The sequence below is a fragment of the Homo sapiens genome, chromosome 1 (genome assembly GCF_000001405.40).
Source record: "Homo sapiens chromosome 1, GRCh38.p14 Primary Assembly".
NCBI lineage: Eukaryota > Metazoa > Chordata > Mammalia > Primates > Hominidae > Homo > Homo sapiens.
In genome coordinates, this window is record NC_000001.11 from 63,361,491 (window position 1) to 63,374,335 (window position 12,845).

A 12,845-nucleotide genomic window follows, 5' to 3' on the forward strand; every position below is an offset into this window, starting at 1 on the left:
ACCCCATCTCTACTAAAAAGACAAAAATTAGCCAAGTGTGGTGGCACATGACTGTAATCCCAGCTACTCGGGAGGCTGAGGCAGGAGAATTGCTTGAACATGGGAGATGGAGGTTGCAGTAAGTCGAGATCGTGCCCCTGCGCTCCAGCCTAGGCAACAGAATGAGATTCTGTCTCAAAAAAAAAAAAAAAAAAAGAAAGAGAGAGAGAACATTTGGGCATCAGAGACACCAGAACAGCAGTCTGCAACTAGGGAGCCTAGAACCTTCCTGTTTTTTGTGTGTGACAATAGTTATTATCTCACTGAATGAGAGTTCTGTAGAACATGCTTTGGGGAAATGTCACTCTCAAGTTTTCTTATATGTCAGAAGGGGATAATAACACCTGTTCTACCATTGTCTCAGAGTTACTGTGAAGATCAAGTGAGCTGGATATGAAAGACTTTGGCTAATGCCTATACTGAAACATGACAATGTAAGTTTAACTCTAACATTCTGCTACTCAGGTGAACTTATGCCCTACATGGGGCAAGAGTATAATGAGACTTAGAGGTTACAGAATAATGGAAAATGAGTCATTTTGACCCATAAAAGGGTCAATTAAGGAACAGGTACTGATAAGAAAATAGATTCTATTTAAAAGAATAGTTATGATCAGGTGAATGGCTTTCAGTTAAAATCAGAGAAGATCTGAAACTTATATAGAAAAGGGCTTGTTTTCTTACTGAGTGGAAGTGATCTAGGAAAGGGACTAGAAACTATTATAAAAGTATGATTTGTGTGAGGAAGTTTGCCTAGCTGATTAAATATTGACAGTACCTTCAATAAAGTATATAATAGTTTGTTAAGGTTGCTGTAACAAAATAGCACAGGCTGCGTGGCTTAAACAACAGAAATTTATTTTCTCAGAGTTCTGGAGGCTTGAAGTCAGAGATCAAAGTGTCTGCAGGGTTGATTTCTTTTGAAGCCTCTCTCCTTGTCTTGCAGATGGCCCTATTCTCCTGTCTTCACATGGTCTTTCTTCTGTGCGCATGCATATCTGTGTTCAAATTTCCATTCTTGCAAGGATCCAGGCATGTTGGGCTAGGGCCCATCCTAATGTCCTCACTTAATATTAATTACCTCTTTAAAATCCCTATTTCCAAATATAGTCACATTCTAAGGCACTGGGGATTAGGACTTCAACATATGAATTTTGAGGGCTACAATTCAGGCCAAAACAAGTTATATGCAATTTGTACCATGAGATTATCTTTACTCTACATACATGAAATGGCCACCAGAGGTTGCTCCTTTTGCAAAAGACATGGCAGAAAGACAAGTAAGTAAGGGGATTTGAACTCTGATTTTTTGGCTGGTGAGAAATAAAATTGTTAGTTGGGCTCTTGCCCATTTCTAGTTTCATCCCAACTTTTCTGTAGTGGATTACAGATGGCCGGAAATTCTTTCCTACCTTCCCACTGAGAGGCAGAATCTATTTCCACTCTCCTTGTATCATGGCTAGGTTGCTGTGTGACTTGTAAGGCTGGGGTGTAAGAGATCTGCAACTTTTGCCTTTGCCGCTTGGAATGCTCTCTCTGGGAAGTGAGCTGCCGTGTAAAAAGTTTGCGAAACTTTCTGAAGAGAGAAGCCCTGTGGAGAGAGGGCTGAAGCTGTTCACGGATGTTTCAGCCTGAGCTGATCTCCCAGCTGAATGCAGCCTCATGAGTGACCTCAGACAATCCCAGTGGAACAGATGAACCACCTACCTGAACCCTGCCTAGATTCTTGATCCATAGAAACATGAGCAAATAAAATCATTGCTATATAAGCCGCTAAATTTTGGAGTAATTTGTTACACAGCAGTAGATAATTGAAGCCATCACCTATTAGTCAAACTGACTTTAGAGATTAATAGTATTCATTTCATATTCTTTCCCATCTGCCTTTAAAATGCACCAACTTTTTTTTTCTTTTTTTTTCCCAATGGAGTCTCGCTCTGTCGCCCAGGCTGGAGTGCAGTGGTGCGATCTCGGCTCACTGCAAGCTCCGCCTCCCGGGTTCACACCATTCTCCTGCCTCAGCCTCTCGAGTAGCTGAGACTACAGGCACCCACCACCACGCCCGGCTAATTTTTTTTGTATTTTTAGAAGCGATGGGGTTTCACCGTATCTCCTGACCTTGTGATGTGCCTGCCTCGGCCTCCCAAAGTGCTGGGATTGCAGCCGTGAGCCAGCGGGCCTGGGCAACAACAACTTTTTTTTTTTTTTTTGAGACGGAGTCTTGCTGTGTTGCCCAGGCTGGAGTGCAGTGGCGCGATCTCGGTTCACTGCAAGCTCCTCCTCCCGGGTTCACGCCATTCTCCTGCCTCAGCCTCCCGAGTAGTTGGGACTACAGGCGCCCACCACCATGCCCGGCTAATTTTTTTTTTGTATTTTTAGTACAGACGGGGTTTCACTGTGTTAACCGGGATGGTCTCGATCTCCTGACCTCGTGATCCACCCGCCTTGGCCTCCCAAAGTGCTGGGATTACAGACGTGAGCCATTGCGCCCAGCCAACAACTTTTAAGATGGATTATACATTAGTGTAATTTGATTTCAGATAATTTTTTTTTATTTTTTTGAGACAGGGTTGTGCTCTGTCACTCAGGCTAGAGTGCATTGGTGCAATCATGGTTCACTGCAGCCTCAACCTCCCTGGGCTCAAGTGATCCTCCCATCTCAACCTCCTGAGTAGCTGGGACTACATAAGCACACCACCACACCTGGCTAATTTTTATATACTTTTTGTAGAGACAGGGTTTCGCCATGTTGCTCAGTCTGGTCTTCAACTCCTGGGCTCAAAGGATCTGCCTGCCTCAGCCTCCCAAAGTGCTGGGATTACAGCTGTGAGATACTGTGTCTGGTCGTGGTTTCAGAGAAAATTTTCAGATAAGAACAGTAGGCTTCTGGTGGGGATGCAAATATATATATGTATGGGCTGCTATATGGTAGGAGGAAGAAGACACTTCAAAGAAAGGCTATGAAAAAGTGAGCACATGTTAAAGACAAATGATAATAGCTATTATTTATTGATTGCATACTATATGCCAGGCAGTATATTCAAGTTTTATATGCATGATTTCATTTTACTCTCATTAAAATTCAAAGAAGATGACATTATTATTAATTCTTTTTTTTTTGTAGGTGAAGTAATTATGCCAGAGACATTAGGAGACTTTACCAAGTTCACACAGCTAGAAAGTAGAAGAACTAAGATTTAAATCCAAACCTGTTTGTTTTCAGAGTCAGAGACTAGTTCTTAATCACCTTTCTACACTGCCTCTAAACTTGATCTGCTTTACAATTTTGCTATGGCTTATCCTTTTTGCTTATAGTAAATGCTATCATTCAAAATGCATTTTCTGAACATCTGTTATGTAAAGGCACTGGATATTCACATGTGAAAGATGATACCTATTGAAGGTAAAGAGCAGGAGAAGGTATATAGATGGCAGTGGTGAGACAATTCAGCTATGAGTTAGTGACTGTGATGTCTCTTCCGCTATTTATTCATGAACATTTTGAGCATTAACTTTTTGTTAAATACTGGGTCAGAAGCTGTTGGGTTGAGAAACAGGAAGGAGAGATTGATACCAACTTCCATCACTTTAAGATGTATACTTTTTACATATTAATATTTCTGAAATTATATGTTTTACAGTAATTACTAGCTTAAATGGTAGCATTGTTTTCTTCCTCAGTGGTACATAAAATAATGGTGCTTTTTACAAGTGGTGGAACTTTAGATTCAATAAAGTATGATTTTTGGTCTGCCAAACATGGTTCTTGTTCACCAGATGCTTAATATTTATGATCCTGCAATGTAATGGATTTCTCCCTACATTTGTAACCATGTAACATCCTTCACCAATGTGCCTTTCTCCTTTTGGCCTGAGATAATGCATTTATTCAAGTATGGTTGTTTATTTTCTCTCTATACTGTCTCCATCATTATTCAGCAAATGAAACACTTTCATCTCTCTATCTTCACCCCAATTTCTTTCCTGGGCTCTGATTCATAACTGACACCTGAGTATTACAACTTTCTTGTCTTTATGTTACCGTGAACTCAATACAATGAACCATCTTTCCCTCCAAGCCAGATTATTCTCCAGGCTTCCCAAGATCTATCAGTTCTTGGGAACTGTAATGCACACTTGAAACCTTGGGAGCCATCCTTGATTCTTCCCTCTCCTTTGTTTCACTTGTACATATCTAGTATGCTATTAAGACCTGTACACGAGGCCAGGTGCAGCAGCTCACGCCTGTAATCCCAGCACTTTGGGAGGCCGAGGCAGGCAGATCACCTGAGGTCAGGAGTTCGAGACTAGCCTGACCAACACAGAGAAACCCTATGTCTACTAAACATACAAAATTAGCCAGGTGTGGTGGTGCATGCCTGTAATCCCAGCTACTCGGGAGGCTGAGGCAGGAGAATTGCTTGAACCCGGGAGGTGGAGGTTGTGGTGAGCCGAGATCGTGCCATTGCTCCCCAGCCTGGGCAACAAGAGAACAAGAGCGAAACTGCGTCTCAGAAAAAAAAAAAAAAGACCTGTACATGTTTCTTCTTGCATTGATCTCTCCCTTTGCAGTTCCACTATTGCCATCTCAGTCCAAGCCCTTGTCTAATCATGCGTGGACTGCTATAGTCTCCCTCTGATTCATCTGATCCATTTTCACCACTTTAAGTTTTCTCTAACACTGTAACTGTACTGTATACTTGACTCCCTGCTAAAAGTCATTTAATAGCCCCTTACTGATCACTGGATACATTCCAGACACCATAGCCTGGTATTCAAGGCTCTCTACAATTACCAGTCCTTTCCAGCTTCATCACCCACCACCTAAACTAGAGGAAATGTTCTACACTTTTCAGCTGCCACAATATTTGGCTTGAACCATTTCCTTTGTCTAGATTCTTACTCTCATTCTCTGGGCTTATCCAGCCAGGCTTTCCTTCAAAGCTCAGCTGACTCCTCCAGGAAAAGCATTTCCTGATGGTTTGCAGTTTACAGTGAACCCTCTTCTCCTAACTCCTACAGTGCTTAGTGCATATGTAAGTAATGTAACATTTAGTATGTGTTTCCTTCTATAGCTTTTTATCCTTTTATGCATAAAAATGTCTTTCCAATGAGAATTAAATGCCTTGAGGGCAGGGACCTGCCATATTTCTCCATATTCCCAGTGCTGATGGTCTTTTAGATATAATCATATTTTAGACCTGGAAGTTCACCTAGCCCTACTGATTTCTTTCACAGTTGAAGAAACTGAGGCCCAGAGAGAAGTTATTCAGACTCAGTAGAAAGCCATAGTCCTAGCCAAATATTTGCTAACACTTACAAATTATAGGGGTTGGCTTACGTAGAATGGCAAGATTCAGAAGTGGGGAATGAGGGCACTCTCTGAACAAAGGAAGGCAAGTAAAAATCATCACAGCCGTCCATGCGTGATTGGACAGAAGCCTAGACTGAGATGGAAATAGTGGAACTGGAAAGGAAGGGATCAATGCAAAAGGAAAAGTGTGCAGGTCTTACTAACTTACTAGATAGGTATTTTTGGCAAGTTTGGGACCAGGTGATTCAAGCTGCCCGCTGGGGCACGTGTAGTGGCTACTCGAGGGCAGGGCTGTCCTTTTGCACAACGCACAGGCTCTCGCAAATGGTTGGATGTTCAATGTTTCTTACTTTAGGGGGCTGCCCAGTCTTCTTCTTCGCAGGCATGTGGCTAGAAGAAAGTGAAGCAGGTTGGCTTTCTGGCTCCTCGAGGGCACAGGCCCAGAGGTGGTGAGGACCGGCCAAGGCTCTCTGCTCAGTGCAGCAAGCCAGGGCCCGCCCCTGACAGGAATCCGTTGGCTAAGCAGCCGCTCCGGCCTTGGCCACGATCCCAGGAAAGAAGAGCAAGGGGCTTTCCACCTGCCCCTAGCCTAACCCGGGGCTGGGGACCTCTCGGGTTCCATCGGCTCTTGCCCCGCCTCCTAAGCCGGCCGCCTCCTGTCCAGGCCAGGTTGCCCGCCCCTCCCCTCACGCTCGACGGGCTCGCTCCCGCACCGGGCGCGCGGGTGGTGCGCGGGCACACGGAGGCGGAAGGCCGGAGGGGCAGTCCGCCGCGGGGGCGAGCGCGCATGCGCCTTCCTGGGACCCACGGCAGGCGCGAATCCCAGCGGCCGGCGGGCGGCGGGGTAAGAGCATGGGATCCCGGAGGTTCCGGACCCCAGGCCAGTGTGGGGAGGTGCCGGGGGCTCGGACGCGCCACGAGCCGGCGCAGAGCTGGCGACCCGTCTCCCAGCTCCGCTCCACTCCCAGGGACGCGACGCGAGGCCTCCCCAGCCCTTCCTGCAGGGTCGCTTGTGGGTCGGGTGAGGGGACGCGGTGATAGTGGTGGCACTTGCAGGCTGGGGCGGTCCTGGCACCCTTGTCCTTGCGGTTCTGAGGGCCTGGCCCTCAAGAGGAGGGGCGGAGAAACGCGAGAAGGGATCCCTTTCGCCCCATATACACGCCCGGGATAGCTGCACTCCCCGGTGTTGTGTCCACTGCGGTGGAAGGACCTTTCAGACTAAAAGGAGCAAAGTCGGTTCTGGGATGGGGACGGCGGGCTTGGCATTTGTCGAGATGCACCGTCAGGGCAAAGGAGGACGAAAAGCGCATCTACTGCCTGCCTAGCAACTTCGTGGCCAGTGGATGGGTTAGAAAATTACTGTTTTCTGATTTACAGGTGGAAAAAGTCGCAAATAACCCTTTTTCTGGTTTAAGCAGAAGAGAGTCGTTAAAAGCCTCGCATAATATCTTTAACCACACAGGGCTCAGTAAAATTAGGGTACCTCCCCGCTTCGTACACACAGACGCACACAGCTCCATTCAGCAAATACTTCTTGGGTACCTGCCTTCTGCTAACACTGTTCTACAAGTGGGGAACAGAGAGCAACGACTAAGACAGGAGGATCCCTGCTCACAGGGAGCCTTTAGTCAACACATCCAAGTAATTTCCTTTTACACTTTTTTTTTTTTTAATTGAGACAGAGTCTTGCTCTGTCGCCCAGGCTGGAGTGCAGTGGCACGATCTTGGCTCACTGCAACCTCTGCCTCCCGGGTTCGAGCGATTTTCCTGCCTCAGCCTCACGAGTAGCTGGGATTACAGGAACGCACCACCACGCCCAGCTAATTTTTGTATTTTTAGTAGAGATGGGGTTTCACCATGTTGACCAGGCTGGTCTCGAACTCCTGACCTCAGGTGATCCACCTGCCTCGGCCTCCCAAAGTGCTGGGATTACAGGGGTGAACCACTGCGCCCAGCCCCTTTTATGCTTTTTAAATTGGAATATACCATATAGAAAAATACTGTACGCAAATTATAAGTTGTAACTTGTTAATTTATCCTAAAGTCAACACATTTCCTAACCACTACTCAAATCAAGAAGGAAGATTCACAGCATTTCAGAACACCTCTCTGGGCACCCCTCCCAACCACCATCCCTTCTTTCCTCCCCAAAGGTAACCTCTTTCCTGATTTTTAACACCATAGATTAGTTTTGCCTATTTATGAACCTTTCATGGAACCATATGATATGTATTCTTTGGTGTCCAGCATTTATACTGAAAATTATGTGTGTGAGATTGCACCATGTCATGTGAAAATACAAATCCTGTTAGTGAAAAGAATTAGGAAGCAAATTGAAGGTAATGATACAAACAGTAAGGGGAGGAAGCTTTAGTAGGATAGTCAGGGATGATCTTTCTGAGGGGATGATTTGAGATTTGGCATCAATGACAAAAGATTAGCCATTCCAATCAGTTCTGGAGTTATCCCGTGATGTTTTTATTTTAAATAAGAAAATAATTAGGGCCGGGTGCAGTGGCTCACGCCTGTAATCCCAGCACTTTGGGAGACCAAGGAGGGTGGATCACCTGAGGTCAGGAGTTCAAGATCAGCCTGGCCAATCTGGTGAAACCCCGTCTCTACTAACAATACAAAAATTAGCCAGGCGTGGTGGTGGGTGCCTGTAATCCCAACTACCTGGGAGGCTGAGGGAAGACAATCGCTTGAACCCAGGAGGCAGAGGTTGCGGTGAGCCGATATTGTGCCATTGTACTCCAGCCTGGGCAACAAGAGCAAAGCTCCATCTCAAAAAAAAAGAAAAAAAAACAAATAAAATAAAATAATTTTAGATCATTAGGTGGAATGTACCAATTTTGCCCTAAATTTTTTAGTTGATTTATTATATTTTCTGAATATATTTAAAGTGTATCCTGTGGTTAAAATGGTCCAACATTTTTCAAAGAGAAGAGGAAAATGTCAATTTTGTCGATTTGCTTTTTATTTTTTTTTGTTTGAGATGGAGTTTCGCTCTTGTTGCCCAGGCTGGAGTGCAATGGTGCGATCTCGGCTCACTGCAACCTTCACCTCCTGGGTTGAAGCGATTCTCCTGCCTCAGCCTTCCAAATAGCTGGGATCACAGGCGAGCGCCACCATACCTGGCTAATTTTGTATTTTTAGTAGAGATGGGGTTTCACCATGTTGGTCAGGCTGGTCTTGAACTCCTGACCTCAGGTGATCTGCCCACCTCGGCTTCCCAAAGTGCTGGGATTACAGGCGTGAGCCACCGCAACCGGCATCAATTTGCTTCTTACTTTAAAACCCCAACCTAAGGAAAACTGTAAAAAAAAAAAAAAAGTAAGTGGTTAATTGAGTTTTACTGCTTTTGTATTTTTTTCTCACGATTTGGGATTATTCTTAATGATTCTTAAAAAGGCTCATTTCTCTAAGATGGAAAGTTGGTGTGGTTAATGCAAGTATATTTTGGAAGAAAAGTAAAAACCAAACTAGATAAATTGTTTATTGGAAGACTTTCCCAAACTAAATACAAAGACAAGATTCCTCTTTCTCGCTGTACCAAAGATAAATCATGCCTTTGTCTACGGTTGTGGTTTTATATTTACCTGTAGGTGAATGTGTTCTAAATAGAATTGACTGTGTCATTATCTACATATGTGTTGTTTTTCTTTTCTCAGAAATATTCCCTTGTGAGAGTAAATCTTTACTATATCTTTAGATGTATTGAGTCCCATTTAATAGGGAGATCCACCTTTTGATGTATATTCCCAACTAAAGGACTAGGGAATAAGGAACTTAAAATACCACGTTTCCTTCACATTCCTTCCCACTACCCCTCCCCTCGAATTCTCTATCCTTCTACTTGGTTTACTGGGTTCATTGTTGTAGGTACTGTACTCAGCTGAATCTTGATATCTTTTTTTTTCCCCTTAGGATACTTCTACATAGACATAATCAAGTTTTGACTATTTGGAAACCAAGCATCATTAAAATTCTCTCAAACTCCTAATTGCGAAGAATCGATAACATTTCAAGAAGTGATAACATTTCTCTGAACAAGAAAAGAAGTGATTGACCACGTTTTAAAAGTACTCTGGCACTGGTGCTGTGTTTTCTTCCCCTCCCTAAATTTGAAGAACTATGGAGAAATGGTACTTGATGACAGTAGTGGTTTTAATAGGACTAACAGTACGATGGACAGTGTCTCTTAATTCTTATTCAGGTAATACATTTTTACTGGTTAAAAAAAAAACGAAATTTTCCTTTGAATAGGTGTTTGTTTGGGGAAAAGTTTACCATTTTCTGACCAGTACAGAGAAGAATTTCAGGCCTTTTTGATATGGTTGAGAAAATACATTTAAATGTCCAGTTCTAATAGAAAGAATATGGATAACAGCTAAATAGAAGCATGCGCTTTGTGATGTGAGAAAGCAAAAATGTGTTCTAACAGGTAAGATGACAAATTGAGAAATGATTCTGTATTAAACATTGAAGAGGAAAATGAGCTAGCACTTCAAGGGAGGGGTGGAGTCTGTTTAGGGTAGAGAAGCATATTACTGGATTAAAGGGAAGCGATCAGTGAACAAGAATAAAATTGGGAATGAGAGAGGGGGAATTGATGGAGTGTGGTCCTGGTGTGTTGGATTGGCTTAAATGTAACTCTGCAGGTACCTATTTAGCACGTCTCATGTTCCCGGCACTGTGCTAGCTTCTAAAAATACAAGATGAATAGCCAATACTCAGAGGGCCCACATTTTATTTTATTTTATTTTATTTTATTTTTTTGATACGGAGCCTCGCTGTGTCGCCCAGGCTGGAGTTCAGTGGCGCAATCTTGGCTCACTGTGACCTCTGCCTCCCGGGTTCAAGCAATTCTTCTACCTCAACCTTCCGAGTAGCTGGGATTACAGATGCACGCGACCATGCCCAGCTAATTTTTGCATTTTTAGTAGAGACGGGGTTTCACCATGCTGGCCAGGCTGGTGTCGAACTCCTGACCTCGTGATCCACTTGCCTCGGCCTCCCAAAGTGCTGGGATTACAGGCGTGAGCCACCGCACCCAGCTAGAGGGCCCACATTTTAATAGTTAAATGGTCACAACAGAGGGTGATAATTATAATGTAGGAGTATGTGTGAGGTACAGAGTTAATAGAGAGGTAAATGATCAAGATGCATTAGAGAAAACTTCAGGAAAGATGTTTGCATTCAAGATTTGAAGGATGAGTCAGAATTTTCTAGGCAAATGAAGTGGAGAAGGTATTATAGAGTGCAGGAACTTGTGCAACAGACATGGTGTCACAGAGCATGGTTATTATAAGTATTGTATTTGAGTTGCATGAAACATAGGAACAAAAAGGATGAGGAGAGAGTGACCAGAGAATAGGTTATACAATTAGCTGGGCAAATTATTTCGTTGTAGAAAAATAACTTATGTTAGTGAAAAAGGGTCATAGGAAAAAGAGATAGGTAAAGAGAAAAATGAGACAATAATATTAATAGTTGTAAGAGCTATGATATATACACAGACACATATATATACACAGACACACATTTACTCTCTACTTACACATTTACTATATACGAAGATACATATATGGAAATTTATATATATGTGTGTCTATATAGTAAATGTGTATATACACAGACACACACATATATAGGTATTTTATGCATACCTATATATGTGTGTGTCTGTATATAGTAAATGTATATATACACAGACATATATATGGATATACACAGACACACATATATATAAATATCTGTATATATGTGTGTATATAGCAAATGTGTATGTAGAGAATAAATGTGTATGTGTCTGTGTATATCGTAGCTTTTTTTTGAGAAAAAAAAGCTCTGTCACCCAGGCTGGAGTGCAGTGGCGCAATCTTGGCTCACTGTAATCTCCGCCTCCCAGTTTCAAGCTATTCTCCTGCCTCAGCCTCCTAAGTAGCTGGGATTACAGGTGCATGCCATCATGCCCAGCTAATTTTTGTATTTTTAGTAGAGACGAGGTTTCACCATGTTGGTCAGGCTGGTCTTGAACTCCTGACCTCGTGATCTGCCTGCCTCGGCCTCCTGAAGTGCTGGGATTACAGGCATGAGCCACCGTGCCTGGCCTGTAGCTCTTACATATAGATGTATACACACACACATACATATATGTTTTGTAAGACTTTTTTTTTTGGAGACAGGGTTTCACTTTCATCGTCCAGGCTAAAGTGCAGTGGCACAATGTTGGCTCATGGCAGCCTCCGCCTCCTTGGTGCAGTGATTCTGCTGCCTCAGCCTACCAAGTAGCTGGAAATACAGGCGTGCACCACGACGCCTGGCTAATTTTTGTATTTTTTGTAGACACAGGGTCTCACCATGTTGCCCAGGCTGGTCTTGAACTCCTGAGCTCAAGTGATCTGCCTGCCCCAGCCTCCCAAAGTGCTGGGATTACAGGTGTGAGCCACTATGTCCAGTCAATATTTTAACCAGACTATAGTTTCTCTTTTCTCTTAAAACATTTTTTTTTGGGGGGAGGCTAAGGTGGGTGGATTGCCTGAGCTCAGGAGTTCAAGACCAGCCTGAGCAACATGGCAAAACCCCGTCTCTATTAAAAATACAAAAATTAGCCGGGCGCACACCTGTAATCCCAGCTGCTGGGGAGGCTGAGGCACGAGAATTGCTTAAGCCCAGGAGATGGAGGTTGCAGTGAGCCAAGATCATCCCATTACACTTTAGCCTGGGCGACAGAGCAAGACTCTGCCTCAAAAAAAAACAAAACAACACACTTTTTTGGGCTATTTTTATTTTTCAATTTAATTTAATTTACATTTTTTTTTTTTTTTTTTTTGAGACAGGGTCTCCCCCTGTTGCCCAGGCTGGAGTGCAGTGGCATGATCTTGGCTCACTGCAGCCTTGACCTCTTGGGACCACAGGCATGTGGCTAATTGTCTGGCTAATTGTTTTGATTTTTAGTAAAGATGAGGTCTCACTGTGTTGCCTAGGCTGGTCTTGAACTCCTGGGCTCGAGCAATACTCCTGCCTCAGCCTCCCAAAGTACTGGGATTATAGGTGTGAGCCACTGCGCCCAATTTTTTCAAATACTCTGGCTTAATATAGTTTCTCTTTATTCAGCATGAATTTAAAGGATTTATAGAAAGAACTTGTAAGAACTACTATATTTTGAGTATGAGTATTTTCTTTAGTATTTACCACAACCACTGAAGACAGGTAATATCTTCGATTTACAAATGGAAAATGAGACAACCAATAAATGACAACTGGGATTCAAATATAGTTGTATTTAATTCCACAATCAGTGCTCTTATGACTGTGCTCTGTGGCTTCTGAATGAGTTCGAGGAATATGGAGGAAGTAAAATCACTTAAATGTAGCAGTTGACTTGGGCTCAAATCTTAGCTCTTTCACCTGTTAGTTGCCTGATCTTGGGGAATTTATTTAATCTCCTTGAGCCTCTTCTATCAAGTGGGGTATTAATACATACTTT

The 12,845-nt window shown here is 43.3% G+C and overlaps 1 protein-coding gene across 1 annotated transcript in view, besides 3 other annotated features; it reads left to right on the top strand.

Moving 5' to 3' along the window:
- Positions 5,597–5,736: an enhancer, noted in NCBI's record as "active region_1124". NCBI's record gives its function as "activates an Ori minimal core promoter by ATAC-STARR-seq in GM12878 lymphoblastoid cells {active_cell/tissue: GM12878}" and the evidence as "EXISTENCE:reporter gene assay evidence [ECO:0000049][PMID:35858748]".
- Positions 5,937–6,416: a silencer, noted in NCBI's record as "silent region_950". NCBI's record gives its function as "represses an Ori minimal core promoter by ATAC-STARR-seq in GM12878 lymphoblastoid cells {active_cell/tissue: GM12878}" and the evidence as "EXISTENCE:reporter gene assay evidence [ECO:0000049][PMID:35858748]".
- Positions 6,137–12,845, top strand: part of ALG6 (ALG6 alpha-1,3-glucosyltransferase) — a 70,927-nt gene continuing 64,218 nt past the window's right edge. The window contains exons 1-2 of the mRNA NM_013339.4: positions 6,137–6,197; positions 9,281–9,569. Of these exons, the coding sequence (NP_037471.2) occupies positions 9,488–9,569 (82 nt within the window). The 5' untranslated portion in view covers positions 6,137–6,197; positions 9,281–9,487. The remainder of the gene's footprint in view (positions 6,198–9,280; positions 9,570–12,845) is intronic.
- Positions 6,597–6,706: an enhancer, noted in NCBI's record as "active region_1125". NCBI's record gives its function as "activates an Ori minimal core promoter by ATAC-STARR-seq in GM12878 lymphoblastoid cells {active_cell/tissue: GM12878}" and the evidence as "EXISTENCE:reporter gene assay evidence [ECO:0000049][PMID:35858748]".